Here is a 17304-nt window from a genome sequence, read left to right as displayed (position 1 = left end):
GCATGCAGCAGTGAATAAGACAAGTTCCTGCCCTCACAGAGAAACAGAGTAAACAACTCACCAGTCATCACCGGTGGTGCAAGTGCCTTGAAGGAAGTTCCACGATGACGTGAGATGAGAAGGGCCCGTAGGTAGGGCAGGCAAGAAAGGCCTGTTTATGAGGAAACACCATATGAGCTGACACCTGAGGAGGAGAAGCAGCAACTGTGGGGAAAGCTGGGGAAGAACATTGCAGACAGAAGAAACAGCACTGCAGAGGCCCAGCAGCAGGAAAGGGCTTACCATGTTGGGAACTAGGAGCCCAACATTAGGAGCTGGAGTGTGGCATGGGACAGGGAATGGAACATCCTGTTAGAAAGGTGGGCGGGAACTGAATCATGCAAGGCCTTGGGGGCCAGACAAAGGAGTTTGGGTGGTATGTTAAGAGCAGTGGGTCTGTGAACATTGCACTGGTAAAAAGGAAAACCAAGAGCAGCGGAGCTTCGTTAAGAGTTTTTCACGCAGCAGTGGCACTGTGACATCAGATTTCCACTCTCAAAGCTTGGGCAAGGTGCTGTCACGGGACAGTGAGCACTGTGCATCTCCAGAAGTACAGAAAGTCCCCAAAGCTGGCACTTGGACAGGGGCCAGATGGCTGTATCAGAATCTCCAGGGAACCTGTTGCGGCTCTAGTTTCCTGGATCCTCACCCTGAAGTTGCTCTTCAGGGGATCCAGGATCTCTTGGGTTTTGTTGATTTTTTTGAGGCAGGGCTTTGTTCTGTTGCCCTGGCTGGAGTGCAGTGGCACAAACACAGTTCACTGCAGCCTCAGCCTCCTGGGCTCAAACGATCCTCCCACCTCAGCCTTCCAAGTAGCTGGGTCTACAGGTATGCTCCACCATGCTCAGCCAATATTTTATTTTTTGTAGAGAAGAAGTCTCACTGTGTTGCCCAGGCTGGTCTCAAACTCCTGGGCTCAAGCAGTCCTCCCACCTCAGCCTCCCAAAGTGTTGGGATTACAGGTGTGAGCCACCACACCCAGCCTGGATCTCTTGTTTTTAATAGATGCTCACTAGACATTCCAGCGTGCACCCAGGGTTGAAAACCTCTCTTTGGGAAATGTGTTTGCAAAAGCTGGATGTGCTCCAGGCAGAGCACACATACCCCTCTATTTTTGGAGGGGAGACCTTGAAAACTCTCCACCAGGAGACCTTGGAGGGTCAGTCCAGTACACATGAGCTATGGTGCCCTCCTGAATAGAAGGTCTAGTAAAAGACCACGTGGTGACCTGGCGTCGTGACAGCCAGGGCTTCTGAAAAGTAGACCAGCAGCTCTCTGTGCCGTAGGTCCCCGTCTGGGCAACTCACCGGTGCCAAGCATAGTGCAGTGTTTGGCGAGGAAAGATGGCACGGATGACTTCTATCAGCTGAAGGTAAGTGAGACATGGGGGTGAGGGTGCCTCAGGAACAGGGCCTGTCATGCCAACCCACTCCTCCCTCCTCCACCTTCACACCTGCGTCATTGTGAACAAGAGTAGCGCCATTTCTTCCCGAGAAGCAATCAAGTTCACAGTCTCCCTCAGAACAACTTCTGATTTAAAGAGTTTTGTCTGTGCATAAATTACATCACCATCATATTAAGAAAAACGATTTCACTTGGTGTGTTTGTGTGTGCATTGTGCACAAATGTCATGTGGTAAAAAGCCCCCTGCTTCCCCCGTTCTGGTTGTTCTGCTGTGTAAAGTGAGGTGTTCTGGTTTTGGTTTTATTTTTATGCTTTCCTAAAGATCCTGACCCTGGAGGAGAGGGGGGACCAAGGCATAGAGAGCCAGGAAGAGCGGCAGGGCAAGATGCTGCTGCACACCGAGTACTCACTGCTGTCTCTCCTGCACACGCAGGATGGCGTGGTGCACCACCACGGCCTCTTCCAGGTGAGCGGCCTTCCCCCTCACCCTTCGCGCTCACCTCTGGCTGGCTCTGTGGGCTGCCACTTGCTGGGGCCACAGCCATACGAGCAGCTCACGTGACCCTTGGGTGTCCCTGCCATGCTAGGTACATCAGGACTTCCAGGGTGGGTGAGATGGGCTGGGCTGGAAGTCAGGCTGGGCCACACTAGCTGTGCTCCTGTGGGGATGGTTATAGCCTAGCCAGGAATGCACACAGTTTGCATCTTAACAGCAGCCAGGCTTTCTTTGAAGAGCCACTTTTCCGAGAAAAGAGGAAAGCAAGAAGTCACTTAAAGACACCCGGGCCCAGGCCAGGCACGGTGGCTCACAACTGTAATCCCAGCAACGTGGGAAGCCGAGGTGGGCAGATCACAAGGTCAGGAGATCGAGACCATCCTGGCCAACAAGGTGAAACCCCGTCTCCACTAAAAATACAAAAATTAGCTGGGCATGGCGGCGCACACCTGTAGTCCCAGCTACTCGGGAGGCTGAGGCAGGAGAATCGCTTGAGCCCGGGAGGTGGAGGTTGCAGTGAGCCAAGATTGTGCCACTGAACTCCAGCCTGGGTGACAGAGCGAGACTCCATCTCAAAAGGGCCCCCTTGTCCTTTTTTTTAAAATTTTTTTTTTTGAGACATTTACTGGACAAACTGAAATGCCTGAGCAGGCAGAAGAACAGGTGGTCAGATCCCTTAGGAAAGGTATTGATTAACAGTGTGTACCTGACAAGAACCATTCTTGGGGCAGCACTGAAGTTGTATCTCCAGAAATGAAGAGTTGGGTTCAGAATGACTGGGAGGCCTCCTTCACAGGCTTGGGAACAGCCCCATTCCTCAGCTGAGCATCCACTGAGCCCTCAGCCGTTTGCTGGCCAGGACCAGCTCTTGCTAAGACAGACCTGCTGTTTGAGAGGCACACAGTGCCAGAGAGAGCAGTCACATTTTGATGCTGACAGTCCTGGATTCAGCTAGTATGACCTTGGGCAAGTCACTTAAGGTCTCTAGGCCTCAGATTCCCCATCTATAAAATGGGGATAGTGATAACAGTACCTACCTCCATTGGTGGTTGGGACGATGAATGAGATTGTGTCAAGCACTGAGCTGCTGCTGGAACACTGTCATCATCATTGCTGTTCAGGCATAAAAACTCCTTGTCAGCTTGAGTTCCTAAAATAAAACAAAGGGAAAACACTTCCCATCCCCATGTATACACCCCAGCAAGGTCTTTGTTCTTAGATTTGCAATTAGAGGTGACTCAGAGTATTTTTAGGCAACTCCAAAAATTAGAGTATCCCCATAAACATGAAATCAAATTGAGGGTGATTGTGGTTTCTTGGTATTTTGTCTGTGATATCTTCAGAAGCTTGGCCTTAGTTCATGTCATTTTGGATGAGAGAACCTGGGTGATCAGAAGTGTTTCTAGTGTACTGTTTGTGTGCCAGACACTGTGCTAGGAAAAGCAAATATGAGGTGTGGTCCTGCTCTTAAGAAGAAATGTGGAGGCCGGGCGAGGTAGCTTATGCCTGTAAACCCAGCACTTTGGGAGGCTAAGGCGGGCGGATCATGAGGTCAGGAGATTGAGACCATACTGGCTAACACGGTGAAACCCCATCTCTACTAAAAGTACAAAAAATTAGCCGGGCATGGTGGTGGGCACCTGTATTCCCAGCTACTCGGGAGGCTGAGGCAGGAGAATGGCATGAACCTGGGAGGCAGAGCTTGCAGTGAGCCGAGAGCGTGACACTGCACTCCAGCCTGGGCAACAGAGTGAGACTCCGTCTCACAAAAAAAAAAAAAAAAAAAAAAAGAAAAAGAAGAAATGTGGATATTCAGTCCTTCAGGAGTTCCCCAGAGGGGACAGTCAGTCTACCCCGCATGACACCAAGGACTTCCTCAAGCTGGTCAGATGAAGTCCCCCTGTTTTTTGTCTTACTCGAAATACCTTTCAGCAAGGAAAATGGGTCTAGAGTTTGCTACCATTGTGTCCATCTCGCAGCCACAACATTGGTGGCAGTACCCACTTACTGAGCCCTGGCAGTGCATGACCTAAGCACAGGACATGGATTGTCTTATTTACTTCTCTTGGGCTGTGGGGGAAAGATTACTAGCTCCCTTTTACCGATGAGGAACTAGAGACCTGGAGAGGGTAAGCAGACTGCCCCAGGTCCCACAGCTAAGACAAGGTGGCTGGGGCCTGAACCCAGCAGTCTGAGGTCAGAGTCACTCTTAGCCATCATGTGACTGTCGGGAGTACTGCATCCCGACAGTCCTCTTTTCTGAGAAAAGAGGAAAGCAGGAAGGCACTTGAGGAAAACAGGTGTCCTGGATACACAGAACCTGTATGGCCTCTGGAGCCTGCCAAGATTGACCTCTTTCTAACTTCCGCCATCTTAGATATCAAAAGGGGGTTCTGTTGGTGATTACTGGAATCTGGGTGCCATGGATTCCCATTTTTGCTGCTTGAGCACTGGGCTAAGAGGGCCCTTGGGCTCTAAATGCCCAGACCTGATCTGAATCCTTTGCATTATGATCAAAGCATTAAGCCTTCACCTGAGATGTTTTAGCTTCAGCCTCTTGCTGGTCCTGGCATTTGGCACACAAGAGGCTGCACAGTGCTGACCTGCCCCATGGTCTAGGCTGCCCAGGCCTCAGTCCTCTCTGGCCCGCACATGCAGGCTAATTCCAGGCTCCCTCACTGGTTTGAGTGTCCCACTCCAGAGGAGAGTCCCAGGCCCTGGCCTTGGCCCTGCCAAGTTCACAGCCAAGCCCTGCGCTACCCCCTTGCCTCCCAGGACCGCACCTGTGAAATCGTTGAGGACACAGAATCCAGCCGGATGGTTAAGAAGATGAAGAAGCGCATCTGCCTCGTCCTGGACTGCCTCTGTGCTCATGACTTCAGCGATAAGACCGCTGACCTCATCAACCTGCAGCACTACGTCATCAAGGAGAAGAGGCTCAGCGAGAGGGAGACTGTGGTAATCTTCTACGACGTGGTCCGCGTGGTGGAGGCCCTGCACCAGGTGAGGCCACACCCTGCTGCTGCGCCTTCTGGCCACAGAAAGCCACCTTTCTTGCTGCTGCTGAGCAGAAGGCAGCTCTGTCCTGTGCACCCAGGTGTGCTTTGCAGCTGGGAGTGTCCAAAAGAAGAGTGACTGAATGGCAGGTGCACAGGGTGAGGCACAGTGCCACCCTGCAGGCCACCTTCCTGGTGAGGGCTGACCTGCAGCCCAGCTGTGGTAATTACCACAGCCAACTGTGTTAATTCCCCATCAGTTAAGAGGCCTGGTGTCCACCCCCATGTAGTGATGACAGTGAGATACCCACCCAAGCAACTACAGCACATCTGAGCTTTTTGTAGGATTAGAGGTGTCAGGCACGCTGGGACAAAGGATAGGAGAGCCTGAGCCTCTTCCCGGTGTGCCGCTTCTGTGGGCCGAGCCTGTGGTACTTAGTCACAAAGCCATGACAGCTCCTCCCCGACCCCCAGATCCATCCTGTCCATGGAATGTCTAATGGAGGGGAAAAAATGAGTGACTTTCGCCACCAGCCACTGCCCTGAGGGGAGAAAGAGCTAAAGAAGCTGCCACAGATGGGGAGACACTGACTAGGTGCACATTCATTCCCCATCCAGACGCGCAGGTCACGCGAACTTAGAACTGTCCTGATCTGCCTGTGCTTGGAGCCTAAAGAGACACATCATAGAATTTTTCCTGCCTTCTCGAACACCTGGAGAGCCCCCATCTTACAGGGTGGGCCCTGACCCCACCTCTCACATTGACAATGTAAACCATACGCCTGTTGTTTTACAGAAAAATATCGTGCACAGAGACCTGAAGCTGGGGAACATGGTGCTCAACAAGAGGTAAGATCCCTGTCTCTACATCCATACAGTTACCCCGGGGCTGGGGCAGGCTACACATTGCAACTCTCCAGTGCCCTGAAGTGTCCTCATGAGGATTCCGACTCAAAACAACCCACTTCCTCCAGGAATCCCAGGGCTCGGGATGGGATGAACATGGGAATTGGGGGCTTGCTGAGACTGGGAGTTTTGAGCCACAGAAAGGGAGCTCTGGGAAGAACTTTAGATCTCCCTTGTCCATTTATTTGTCACACCTGGCTCCTAGTGGGTACTCATAAAATTACTATAAAAATGGACTAAATGGTCAGGTGCGGTGGCTCCCGCCTGTAATCCCAGCACTTTGGGAGGCTGAGGCGGGAGGATCACTTGAGCCCAGGAGTTTGAGACCAGCCTGGGCAACATAATGAAGACCCCATCTCTACAAAAATATATATATTTTTTGAATGGACAAATGGGGTGAAGGAACGAGCAAAATGATGCCTTGCCATAGGTCAATTTCCTCAGGAAACAGACTCTGAGGTTTACGTGCAGAAGGTTTACTGTGAAGTGCTCTCAGGGTGAGGGGGTGGAATTAGGCAGAGGGAGAAGCTGAACCGCAGTGAAGTCCCAGCAGGGCCTCAGCCTGAAAAACTCGAGAGTGGGATGGCCTGCAGATGGCCCGCGCTTGGCCTTTGTGCCCCCACAGCAATCAGTCACTGAATGTCTGCTGTCCTTAGGGAGGGGCATTCTCTTAGGCAAGGCAGCTTCTTTTGGCTAAGAGGGCCTCCTGGAGAGGGATGCAGCTGTGAGTGGTTACCTGTAAAATGCCACCAGCTCTCTCAGCAGCAAGGAGAGCATGCCTTAGACTTGGAGGGGATCTGGCGGCCCACCCTTGTTGGGGTGAACCAGCAGCAGAGGGACACCAAGCACGGCCCTGGTTTCAGGTTGTCATCCCGCCTCGACAGAGGGTCCTGGGCCTCTTTGGAGTGATCTGGGACAGTGCTACCACTGTCTCACCATGTTAGAGGGACCACCAACCATGTAGGAACCCAGGACCAGCAGGAAGTGGGCCCACTCTGTGGGCTACCATGATCCTTGAAATGCAGGGCTGAGAAGGGCACATCTCCCCCACTCCGCCCCCACCCATTATTTCTGAGCTCCCCTCTGTCACCTCTCAACTCGGCATTGAGCAGGTTGAAGGGCTTACAAAGGCAGCCTGAATCTCACAGCAGAAGTGTTGTGGTGGGTGATTCATTCCATGATGTGGCCAGCCCAGCCCAGGAAGGGCCCGAGGCCCACTGTCCTCTAAAGAGGCCAAAGCCACAGTGGTCAGAGGAAAAGAAGCTGCCTGGAGGTTGGCCTCCGGGGAGGGGGCATTGCCTTGTGCCCCATCTCAACTGATGGGGAATTACTGCTGGGGGTTCCAGATCCCATAGCTCCAGCCTGAGAGGCCATCGGGACGATGCTGTGCACCTCAGCTGCTAAGCATTCTCCATCCTTCGACTAGCACCACCTGGTGCTGGGGCTGCAGACAGAAACGCTCAGTGGTTCCCACTACCCTCTGGAGCCCACCATCTGATGGTGTACTGACCAGAAGATGGTATCATGTGTGGAGGACTGGCGTGCAGAGGGCAAGGGACATGTGGAGGGACAGTGGCTGCCACCTGAGTCAATTCGTGAAGGATGAGTTGGGATTTGCCAGGCTGAGAAAGTGAAGGGATGAGAACCTTGCCCTGCTATGCTCTGCAGGGGGAAGGGAGGGAAACAGGAAATTCCAGAGCTGCTTGAACCCTGGACTGGCTGAGTGAGTGAGTTGAGGAGGACGGAAGCAGCACTGACATGGGGGTCAGACCTGGCTCACTTCCCAGTGCCACTTCTTCGTTATCTTGGAGACCGTGAGAGTGTGGTCCTCTGGGTACTTACTGATTGAATTCATATATTGAGGTACCAAGCACTTCTCTGAGCTTCCATTTCCTCATCTGTGAAAGTGAAGGTCATCCTGGCTTCCTGGGAAGATTGGCCTGAGATGCAAATCAGTGGGTGTGAGGCTGCGTAATATGATGGGGTTTGGCGCATCACGGGCACACCCCAGTGCTAATGTAGCCAGGACTGGAGAGCCTGTCGCTGAGAGACAGGAGAACAGGACCCATGGGCTCACATCTCTGGAGATGAGGCCTGCTGCATGTTGAGTGGCCAACGAGGACACCCCTGGTGAGGGCCCAGCGGTCCCCCAGCCATAGCTCTGCATCATGAGAGGAGGTGGTGGGGAGCCCCGAGCAAACCAGCCCTGGGCTGTGGAGAGCCAGTTGTCATAAAGTTGGGAAATTGGGTCCTGCCCCTTCCCCTGGCCCTCTCTGGGGCCTTGGGCCAGTCCCATCCTGCTGTGGACTACAGGCTTACTGTTCACAAAGAGAGAGCATATTTTTTGGGCACCTAAATCCATCTGGCTGCAGAGCCCATGTGCCCTCCAGCTGGACTAGAGAGCTCCCAGACCTTCCACAGCAGCCATTCATTGGCTGTAAATGAACATCCCAGGGTTGTCATGGGAACTTGCCGGGCTCATGCCTGCTAACCACACCAGCACTCCTGGCCCTTTGTGTCACTGGGGGATTTGCTTCCAACTCTCACTTCCCCAGGGCCCCTTGGTCCTGGGAGTGTAGTCGAGGGGTCGCACCTCCCTGCATACGCCGGCGTGGCTGTAGCAGCTCTGCTGTGAGTGTGAGTGCGTGCTCCTCAGGGTGCAGAATGCCAATGCCTCACTCATACCCAGTGTCCTGGTTGTACTTCCTGAATCTGATAAATCCCCCTTTTTGTGTCTCAGGGCAGACAGAGGTTCTGGCTGCCTTTTACTTGAGTCATGGGCGCTCCAGAGTGGCAGGGTAGTGTGGTGCAGAGAGACTCACTGCTCCGTGTGTGTCCTCTGGCACACCCTCCGCTCTGGGGCCCCACTCTCACCTCGTTCAGTTGACCTGAAGGAGCTCCAGCCCACTCCAGCCCCTTCCCACCCATCATGCCAGGCTATAACTCCACTGGAGCAGTAGGCGGACCAGCTGGAGGCCTTCTCAGCAGAGCAGAGAGCTCTCAAGGAGCAGACAGGGGGAGGTGTTGGCAAGGCAGCTGCAACAACAAGTTCACCCCGCTTTGGATTTTAAAAGGATCGAAATTCGAAATCCTCTTCTGGGGTTATGTGAGGTGCTGTGGGGTCTTTTTCCTTCCTCCTTTCTTTTTGGTAGGCAAGCAACATACCAAGTTCCTAGAAAAGGAGAAAAACACTGTGGCAGCCCAGAGGGCCATAGCTAAAGCGTGACTCACTCAGAGCCGATCCTACTGACACACGTCCCCTCCCTCCGTCCCACTCTGCCATTGCCCCCTCCTGTCAGGACCAGACTAGGGGGTCTGGGACTCCCGGGGAGCCATGCACCCCCCACTTGGGTGGTGGTGGCAGGGCAGGGGAGTGTTGCCAAACCTCAGGAGGACTTGGAGCTGCCCGTGCCACTTCCTGTGGAGAGACTCCAGTGCGCCTGCCGCTCAGCCCTGCAGAGCCTCAGCTGTGCCTGCCCGTGCCCTGGCAGAGGGTGGGAAAGTCCCACCAGCAGTGTTGAGTTGAAAGCTCAGCCACACTGGCATGTGCTCTCCGGGGCCTGTTGTCACACCATGGCACCTCTCCCCTACCGCCTCCAAGACAGAGTCTTTTCCTACCAGGTGTGCCAACCATCGGAGATGAGAGGACACCAGCTTCTACTATTTGCCAGGCATTGGGCTAAGTGCCCTCCATGAGATTATCTTATCTTGCTGAATCCTAACCCAGTTCTGGAGTTTGGTGCTGGGATTTCACTGTTGTACGCATGAGGAAATTGAGGTTTAGCAAGAGATTCACAGAGCAAGGAAGTGGCAGAGCCAGGACTAGGAACCTGGCTCCCAAACCCACCGTACTTTCTCCTGAGCTGTCCTCCTCTCAGCGTCTTGAGCCTCAGAGACCCACAGGATGCATTTGCAGCTTCCGCGGCCATCTCTGACCAGGGGAGAAAACCCACAGTGCCTCTGCTCTGTGGGAACCTTCTGGACAAGAGGCCCGAGCAGCCCCATATTCAGGGCAGCGGCACTGGAGCTTCAGAGCTAGAGCAGCCCACTCCTTGACGTGCAAGTGACCCTTTGCAGTGACCCTTCACCTGTGCGATCAGGCTCTAGCCGCCTGCGGGCCACCAGTCAGACTCCTATGGCAGCTGACAGGGCGGACCTGTATAGGCGCTGGAGTTGGCGTTTCCGTGGGGAATCCAGAGGACGGGCTGGCCTTTGTTTTGCATCGAGCCCTTTGCCAGCAGAATTCCCCGAGATCACCGAGGGCTCTCAGAGCCGCCTGGATGCGGCTCCCGGGGAAATCCGCCAGCAGCCACACATGCCCTCTGCCTCTGAGAGCTGATTGTAGGGAGAGGCAGCCCAAGGCCCCCATGGAGCTCTCCTTCCTGTTGTCCTCCCAGCTTCTCCCCCTAGCTTCTCCACCCAGCCAGCCGACACAGGAGCAGGGCAGTTGGGTAGAGAGGCATCCTTCCTCACTGCCTGCCCCAGTGGGCCAGGAAACCTTTCCCAGGCCTCTTAGACAGGGCCTGCCCACCCTCCCAGCCCCCAGTGTGGTGTAAGGTGTAAGGGTCCTCTCGGGGCACTTCCTTTTGTCCACATGTGAGTTTTCTCCAAAGGATCAGAGCCCAAAGCTGCCCTGCCCCACGCCTTTCAGAGGGAGGGTCTGTGATGTTCTAGCCAGGGCAGAGTCACAAGTACGAGGTAAGGGATGAGTCAGCTTTGATGGAACAGAAGGAAAAGTCATTCGGGGCCTGGGGCCCTGCCCAGGGACACATCTGGGCATGAGGCAGCTGTCAGTTGTGTGTGCAGCTCTGGGGCCCTGCAGACCTGGTCTTGGATCCTGCTCTTCTGCTCACCAGCTGCATGACCTTGGCCAAGTCCTTTCACTTCCCTGTGCCTTTGTTGTATCATCTGAAACAGGACCGTGAGAAAATCCCCCTCATTGGCCACTGTCAGTTTCTTCCTCTGCAGTGGTTGTGGGGCCAAGTGAGAACTGACATATTCCGTGGTTCGGAGGTGGCTCGGGGCCAGCCCTTGGGTCACCTTCCAAGGTGGAGTCACTCACCTCTGCTGGACTTCCTTTTCCTCATGTGTGAATGAGGAAATTGAACTAAATCTCAGGTCACTCCCAGTCTAGAATATTACGTGAGGCTGTTTTTGAGAAATCTCTGAAAGTTGTTCTAAGCCCTAAGCTGTACCCCGAGATTCAGCCCGGGCAGCAGGTCCAGGGATGGCCTGTGCAACACTCAGATACCTGGGAGAGAAGCCGATCCCTGCTGGGACAGCTCGGCTGGTGGCCAGAAAAGTCTGGGGCCTGATTCCTCTGCTCTGCTCCCTGGAGAGGGGGTCGGGGCAGCTGCTTCACCCTCTGACGAGAAGCCTACCTCCTACTGTTCAGGATTGGGTGTTGGCCCAGTGAGGTGTGTCCTGCCTGCGTGTCTTGTGCCTGTTGCTATAGACACTGAGGTTTGTTCACTCTGTCTCCCACTCCTAGGACACATCGGATAACCATCACCAACTTCTGCCTCGGGAAGCATCTGGTGAGCGAGGGGGACCTGCTGAAGGACCAGAGAGGGAGCCCTGCCTACATCAGTCCCGACGTGCTCAGCGGTACGTGTGTGTGCCAGACATTGGGCCTCTAAGCTCAATACAGCCAGGCTCTGTGACAGTCCACTCAGCAAATTTGTGGGCAGGCCCTGGGCAAGGTGCTGGGGCTTCACTGGGGGCCCAGACCAGTACTGTCCCTCCCCATACAAAATGTTTGGTCTGTTGGAGGTGGAAGACGTAATGATAACATGAATGCATGTTTAATTCCTCTGAGGTTAGTGCTAGGGAGGAACGGGATTGCTGTGAGAGTGGATGAAGGGTGCTTGGAGGACTTTCCCCACAAGGTGTGACAGTTGAGCTATGATCTTAAGGGAAACTAGGAATTCCCTGGGTATGTGTGACTAGGCTGAGGCTGAGGGTCCCAGAGGCAGCACAGCACGTTGGAGCAATTGCAGGCTGCTCAGAAAGTGAGCCTGGTTCAAGGGGAAGCCAGAGAGGTGCGCAGGGGCCAGATCAGGCAAGGCCTGACATAGGCCTCAGTAAGAGATGTCATCCTTTACTTCAAGTGCGAGTGGAAGCCATTGAACAGTTCTTAACTGAGTGTGCTGCTGTGAGTTTGTGTTTCAGAGCCCTCTCTCCTTGTCTGTGTTCATTCATTCTGTTACTGTTTGCTGAGGGCCACCCAGGCCCAAAGCTCTGTTCTAGACACTTTGGAGACAACAGGGAACAAAGTAGACAAACATTGCTGCCTTCATGGAGCTGACTTTCTAGTGGGGATGAGACAGATAATACACGAAACAAATAAGTAACTCACAGGCCGGGTGCAGTGGCTCATGCCTGTAATCCCAACACTTTGGGAGGCTGTGGCGGGATCATAAGGTCAGGAGTTCGAGACCAGCCTGGCCAATATGGTGAAACCCTGTCTCTACTAAAAATACAGAAATTAGCCGGGCGTGGTGGCGGTTGCCTGTAATCCAAGCTACTCAGGAGGCTAAGGCAGGAGAATCGCTTGAACCCAGGAGGTGGAGGTTGCAGTGAGCCGAGATTGTGCCACTGCACTCCAGCCTGGGCAACAGAGCGAGACTCCATCTCAAAAAAAAAAAAAGAAAAAAAAAAACTCATAAAGTTACTGCCCACTGATCTGATTTCCAAGTTCCAGACACTGTGCTGAGCGTGACTCGCGTTATCTGTTTAAACCACACAGCTACCCTGTGAGGCCAATATCTATCTTAAGTCCTTTTTTCACAGATGAGGAAATTGAGGCTCAGAGAGATGACATCTCTTGTCCAAAGTCGTAGCTAATAAATAGTAAACTGGAAAATGGAGGCGCAGCCCCAGGGCTGCCTCCCACTAAAGCCCATTCTCGCAACTCTTTCACTGTCGACTCTGTTGCTTTCTCTTTCCCCCTTGTCCTTGGCCCAAATCCTTTAGGGAACCGGGGCTTACACCAGCTCCCATCCCTCCAACATGGAGAACTTGGGGTTGTCTCCAAGATCCTTCATCCCCACCCCACACATGAGTGCGCCCTTTCCGTGCAGTGGCCGAGCCAGCCTCGTCCCAGCTCTTCACACACATCCTGGTGAGCAGGCTGCTGTAATACAAGCACTTACAACTCCCTCGGAGGCTCCCCCAGCTGCCGCTTCTGCTGGAGAGCCAGGCCTGTCCCCAGGGCTGCCCGTGTGCAAAGACAGTAGCACCATTCCCCAGACCTGGGGGTTTTGGTTAGAGTCACTACAGCCTCTGCTAGAGGGAACTGGGTGCCAGGGGTATACCCTAACTCCTGGGGCACCACCCCCATGGCCCAGCACAGTCTGGCACCCTCTACAGTAATCCCCAAAGCATCCCCATAGGAGATAGAGCCAGGCTCCTCCTTCCACCCAGCCTGTGAGTGGGGCTGTGCCTGTTTGCAGGGCTCAGGCTGTGGGCTAGCCCTGGATGGGACTCCTCTCTTGCAGCACCAGCCTAGAGTGGCCTTCATTTGCAGTCTGAGGCTCTGTGGCCCTCCCTGCTGTTGCCAGCAGCCTATCCTTCTGGTTCTTCCAGACTCGTGCCAGTCTTGGAGGATGAAACAAAGGAATCTGACTGAATCAGAGAGAATCCTCGACTGGGAGACCAGAGACCTGGGTTCTCATTCTGGCCTTGCTGTTGAACCAGCTGTGTGATCACGGCCTCCAATCTCCTTCTGACTTCAGCCTCCTCCCTCCTGGGTTAGAAGCTGAAGTACCAGCCCTACCATGTGGGTTTCCGACCCAGGTCTGCCCTTTCATTTATTCTCCATGTGCCCAGCATGGGCATGGGGCATGGAGCTGTGAAAAGGCAGGCCTGGTCTGGCCCTCATGGAGGTGATAGTCTGGCTAATAACCATGTGAATTTGGGGGAAGTTACAGACCTCTCTGAGCCTCCATTTTCTCATCTGTAAAATAGGGATGGCAGTAGTAGTACTTGAGGGATTAAATAATGCCCTTAACCAGCCAGGCGCGGTGGCTCATGCCTGTAATCCCAACATTTTGGGAGGCCGAGGCGGGCAAATCACGAGGTCAGGAGATCGAGACCATCCTCGTTAACTCAGTGAAACCCTGTTTCTACTAAAAATAAAAAAAATTAGCCGGGCGTGGTGGCGGGTGCCTATAGTCCCAGCTACTCGGGAGGCTGAGGCAGGAGAATGGCGTGAACCTGGGAGGCGGAGCTTGCAGTGAGCCGAGATCTCACCACTGCACTCCAGCCTGGGCAACAGAGCAAGACTCTGTCTCAGGAAAAAAAAAAAAAAAAAATATATATATATATATATATATATGTAATGCCCTTAACCTAGTGTTTGGCATGATCGTTGCTGAAAGGGAAGCTTGTGGGTACAGTGTCCCCTCAGAAGCCAAAGCCCAGGGAAGGTCGCCTGCCCAGGTCAGGCTCCCAGCGAGTTTGTCTGGGGAGGGGCCATTCATACCTCCAGGTCAGGACAGAGGCTCGGGCTGAGGGAACCCTACACAGGTCCTGGAAGCAGATCCTTCCTGCCTAAGCCAGCAGGACAGCTCAACAGGAAGCATCTTCCAGCCACGGGAGGAGAGGCAGCACCTTTTTTGGAACCATACAGAGCTAAGAATGGTGGTACAAGTAATAGATTCTGTACTGGCAACCCCACTTGGTGGAGCAAGTTCTAGGAAAAGGGGGCTGTCCTTGAGTCAGCCATGGGGTCAGCCACACAGTCACCGCAGCTGCTCTTTGGCACCGGGCGCTGGAAAGAGCCTAGGATGACACAGCCTGGAAAGAGCTTGGGAGAAGCTCATCTTCCACAGAACTACCTGCTATACCAGCCAGGGCAGGTGCTTATTCCCCACAACAGCCCTCTGTTGTAGGCGGCAGTGCCATCCTGAAGGTGCCGTGGTACCTTCTGAAGACGCAGGCTGAGGCCTGTAATGGCACTGCCATGCACACATGGCACACCCTCTCCCGGTTAAACTGCTTGCCCTTCACTGGGCCCTGGTTGCCCAGGGAGGTGACGCTAGGGTGCCTGGCAGCGTCTCTTCCACACCCACGGAGAACGGAGTTGTGTTCTGGGGTCCAGGCTGCCACAGCCTGCTGGTATACCAGAGGGTGCATCGCAGGGAGTGGGCAGGGCCAAGAGCTTTCAAATGCTCCAGTGGTCTTCATATTTTGCATTTGGGGGAGTGGGTCAGACAATGGCTGTATTGCTGCTGGGTGGGTGGACAGGTTGCCCTGAAAGGAGGCAAGCAGCAGAGCCTGACAGTCAGATGTGGGCCCACTGAGCAGCCATGTGGCCCTGGACAGAGCAGATCACTGGGCCTCAGTGTCCTCAAGCTGTGGAGCACAGTTAGTGAAATAAAAGTGTTTCTTCCCATGCTGTCCTAAAGCGGGTGCTCCGTTAGATGCCTGCTCCTTTTCGCTTTACAGATGAGGAAACTCTCACAGAGAGGTGAATTAAGTGGCCATCCTTCATTTAGCAAATACTTGGGTCCGTGCTGGGCACTGGGGCTCAGCAGTGAACACCGCAGGGAGGCACCTGCACCTGAGAACTTCCCTTCTAGAGGGGAGACGGGGAGTCACAAGTAGACAAAGGAGGGGACCTGCAAGTAGTCATCCGGGCTGTGAAGGAGGCAGGTGGGGTGTGGGGACGGTGACAGGAGGAGCGGCCAGCTCATCTGGAGCCAGCTAGTTATCTGCTGTGCCAGTGTTCTTGACCCCCTGCTTGTGAGCTGCTGTGCTGGGTGCTGGGGCTGCAGACCCATGCCTGGCTCCCAGGGGCTCGCCATCTGGCCGGGCGGGGCAGGTGCTGTGAGCAGGTGCTGAGTGAGCCCTCTCCTTGGGGCAGGAGAGGTGCATCCTGAGGAACAGGGGAGCGGGGAGCACGGGCAGGAGCTCAGAGGACGACTCTGGGGGGACTGGAAGTGAGGGTGGCAGGTGGAGGGTCCCAGGTGGGATTCCAGGCTGGTGAGCCACGGTGGTGCTGTGGCCTGAAGACAGTGTGGTATGTGTGTGCCCGTAGGCCGGCCGTACCGTGGCAAGCCCAGTGACATGTGGGCCCTGGGCGTGGTGCTCTTCACCATGCTGTATGGCCAGTTCCCCTTCTACGACAGCATCCCGCAGGAGCTCTTCCGCAAGATCAAGGCTGCCGAGTATACCATTCCTGAGTGAGTCCTGCCTCCCGGGGGGTGGGGGGGGCAGCCAGCCTGATGGGCTTAAGGCAGGGAAACGGCACAGTGAGCCTGGGCATCCTGGCCACAGACCCAGCACCACCCACTGAGCCCTCCTCCCCAACTCCCTGCCTCAGGGATGGACGGGTTTCTGAGAACACCGTGTGTCTCATCCGGAAGCTGCTGGTCCTTGACCCCCAGCAGCGCCTGGCCGCCGCCGACGTCCTGGAGGCCCTCAGTGCCATCATTGCATCATGGTAAGTGGACAGGCACTTGACCGGGCACAAGGCTGCGTCCTCAGGGCCTCTGCCCATCCTACCCAGAAAAGCAGCCAGTAGTCAGCCTGCTTCTCTGCCAGTTAGAGTCAGATTTCCAGATTCTCTGCATGGACAAGATTGGGAGGGCATAGGCAGAACTGAAGGTTGAGCAACTATGGGCTGCCATAGTTACCCAGGCCCTGCCAGCGGGGCATGGGCATTGCCTCACTGAGTTCTCACCACCACCTGTAAGGGAGAAATTGTCCCCCTTTATGGGATAAGAAAACTGAGGCTCAGAGAAGCAGTCTCTCATGGCAGGAACACAACCCAGGTGTGTCTGACTCCAGTTAAGTCTGGGATCAATGGACCTGGTCTCTCTGGGGCCAGCCTGACCTGTCTGCCTCCCTGCAGGCAGTCCCTGTCATCTCTGAGTGGGCCTTTGCAAGTGGTTCCTGACATTGATGACCAAATGAGCAATGCGGATAGCTCCCAGGAGGTGAGTTGGGGAGGGCAGATGGGCCATTACCCAGCCCCAAGGGACAGGCTTCTGGGGGCAGGCAGGGCAAGGGCAGAGGTGGCAGCTACCCGCAGGCCACAGAGTTTCCTTGGTCTTCTTCCCCAGCCTTGGGGTGGGAAAGGGAGACTTCAGTCCTCAGCCTGAGCTGCCTGGGGCCTGCCTTGGGCTTGGTGTAGCTGGAGATCTTTGGCCAGAGAGACCTGTGAGACAGCCGAGCTGGAGCCAGTGCCCAAGTGGCCCAGGCCAGCCCTCTCAGCTTCCTCCTGCTGCCCAAGTCACATTTCTCTGCCCCCTGACTCAGAGTTCTCTCTCACCCTTCCTGCTTTTCATTTTTCAGATGATTCATTTCTCCCTATTTCTTTCCTCCCCATTCCCTGCACTGGAGAAAGTGTTGGGCCTAGGGTGGGGGCAGAGACTTGGGCACCAGGCAGCAGAGGGCAGGTGATCTTAGGGTGCCCCCTGGAGGGCAGGGCTTGGCCGAGCAACAGCATTGCTGGGC

General features: G+C 54.7%; 1 protein-coding gene across 3 annotated transcripts in view, besides 2 other annotated features; it reads left to right on the top strand.

The window, feature by feature from the left end:
- The window catches only part of STK40 (serine/threonine kinase 40), a 46297-nt gene that overhangs the window by 25777 nt on the left and 3216 nt on the right, over window positions 1-17304 (top strand). For 2 of the 3 annotated variants that reach the window (NM_001282547.2, NM_032017.3), the window contains 8 exons: window positions 1326-1411; window positions 1766-1909; window positions 4715-4942; window positions 5732-5784; window positions 11333-11448; window positions 15884-16028; window positions 16169-16288; window positions 16700-16784. In NM_001282547.2, the coding sequence (NP_001269476.1) occupies window positions 1326-1411; window positions 1766-1909; window positions 4715-4942; window positions 5732-5784; window positions 11333-11448; window positions 15884-16028; window positions 16169-16288; window positions 16700-16784 (977 nt within the window). Of the gene's footprint in view, window positions 1-1310; window positions 1412-1765; window positions 1910-4714; window positions 4943-5731; window positions 5785-11332; window positions 11449-15883; window positions 16029-16168; window positions 16289-16699; window positions 16785-17304 lie in introns of all 3 variants that reach the window. The other variant, NM_001282546.2, reaches the window with a different exon arrangement.
- Window positions 1975-2475: an enhancer, noted in NCBI's record as "H3K4me1 hESC enhancer chr1:36823274-36823774 (GRCh37/hg19 assembly coordinates)". NCBI's record gives its function as "activates a minimal SCP1, AML or CMV promoter by ChIP-STARR-seq in primed H9 embryonic stem cells {active_cell/tissue: H9 hESC(primed)}" and the evidence as "EXISTENCE:reporter gene assay evidence [ECO:0000049][PMID:30033119]".
- Window positions 10592-10721: an enhancer, noted in NCBI's record as "active region_751". NCBI's record gives its function as "activates an Ori minimal core promoter by ATAC-STARR-seq in GM12878 lymphoblastoid cells {active_cell/tissue: GM12878}" and the evidence as "EXISTENCE:reporter gene assay evidence [ECO:0000049][PMID:35858748]".

This window comes from Homo sapiens, chromosome 1 (assembly GCF_000001405.40).
Source record: "Homo sapiens chromosome 1, GRCh38.p14 Primary Assembly".
NCBI classification, from domain to species: Eukaryota; Metazoa; Chordata; class Mammalia; order Primates; family Hominidae; genus Homo; species Homo sapiens.
The sequence above is the reverse complement of the archived record's forward strand: the minus strand, read 5'-3'. Positions and strand labels throughout refer to the sequence as shown.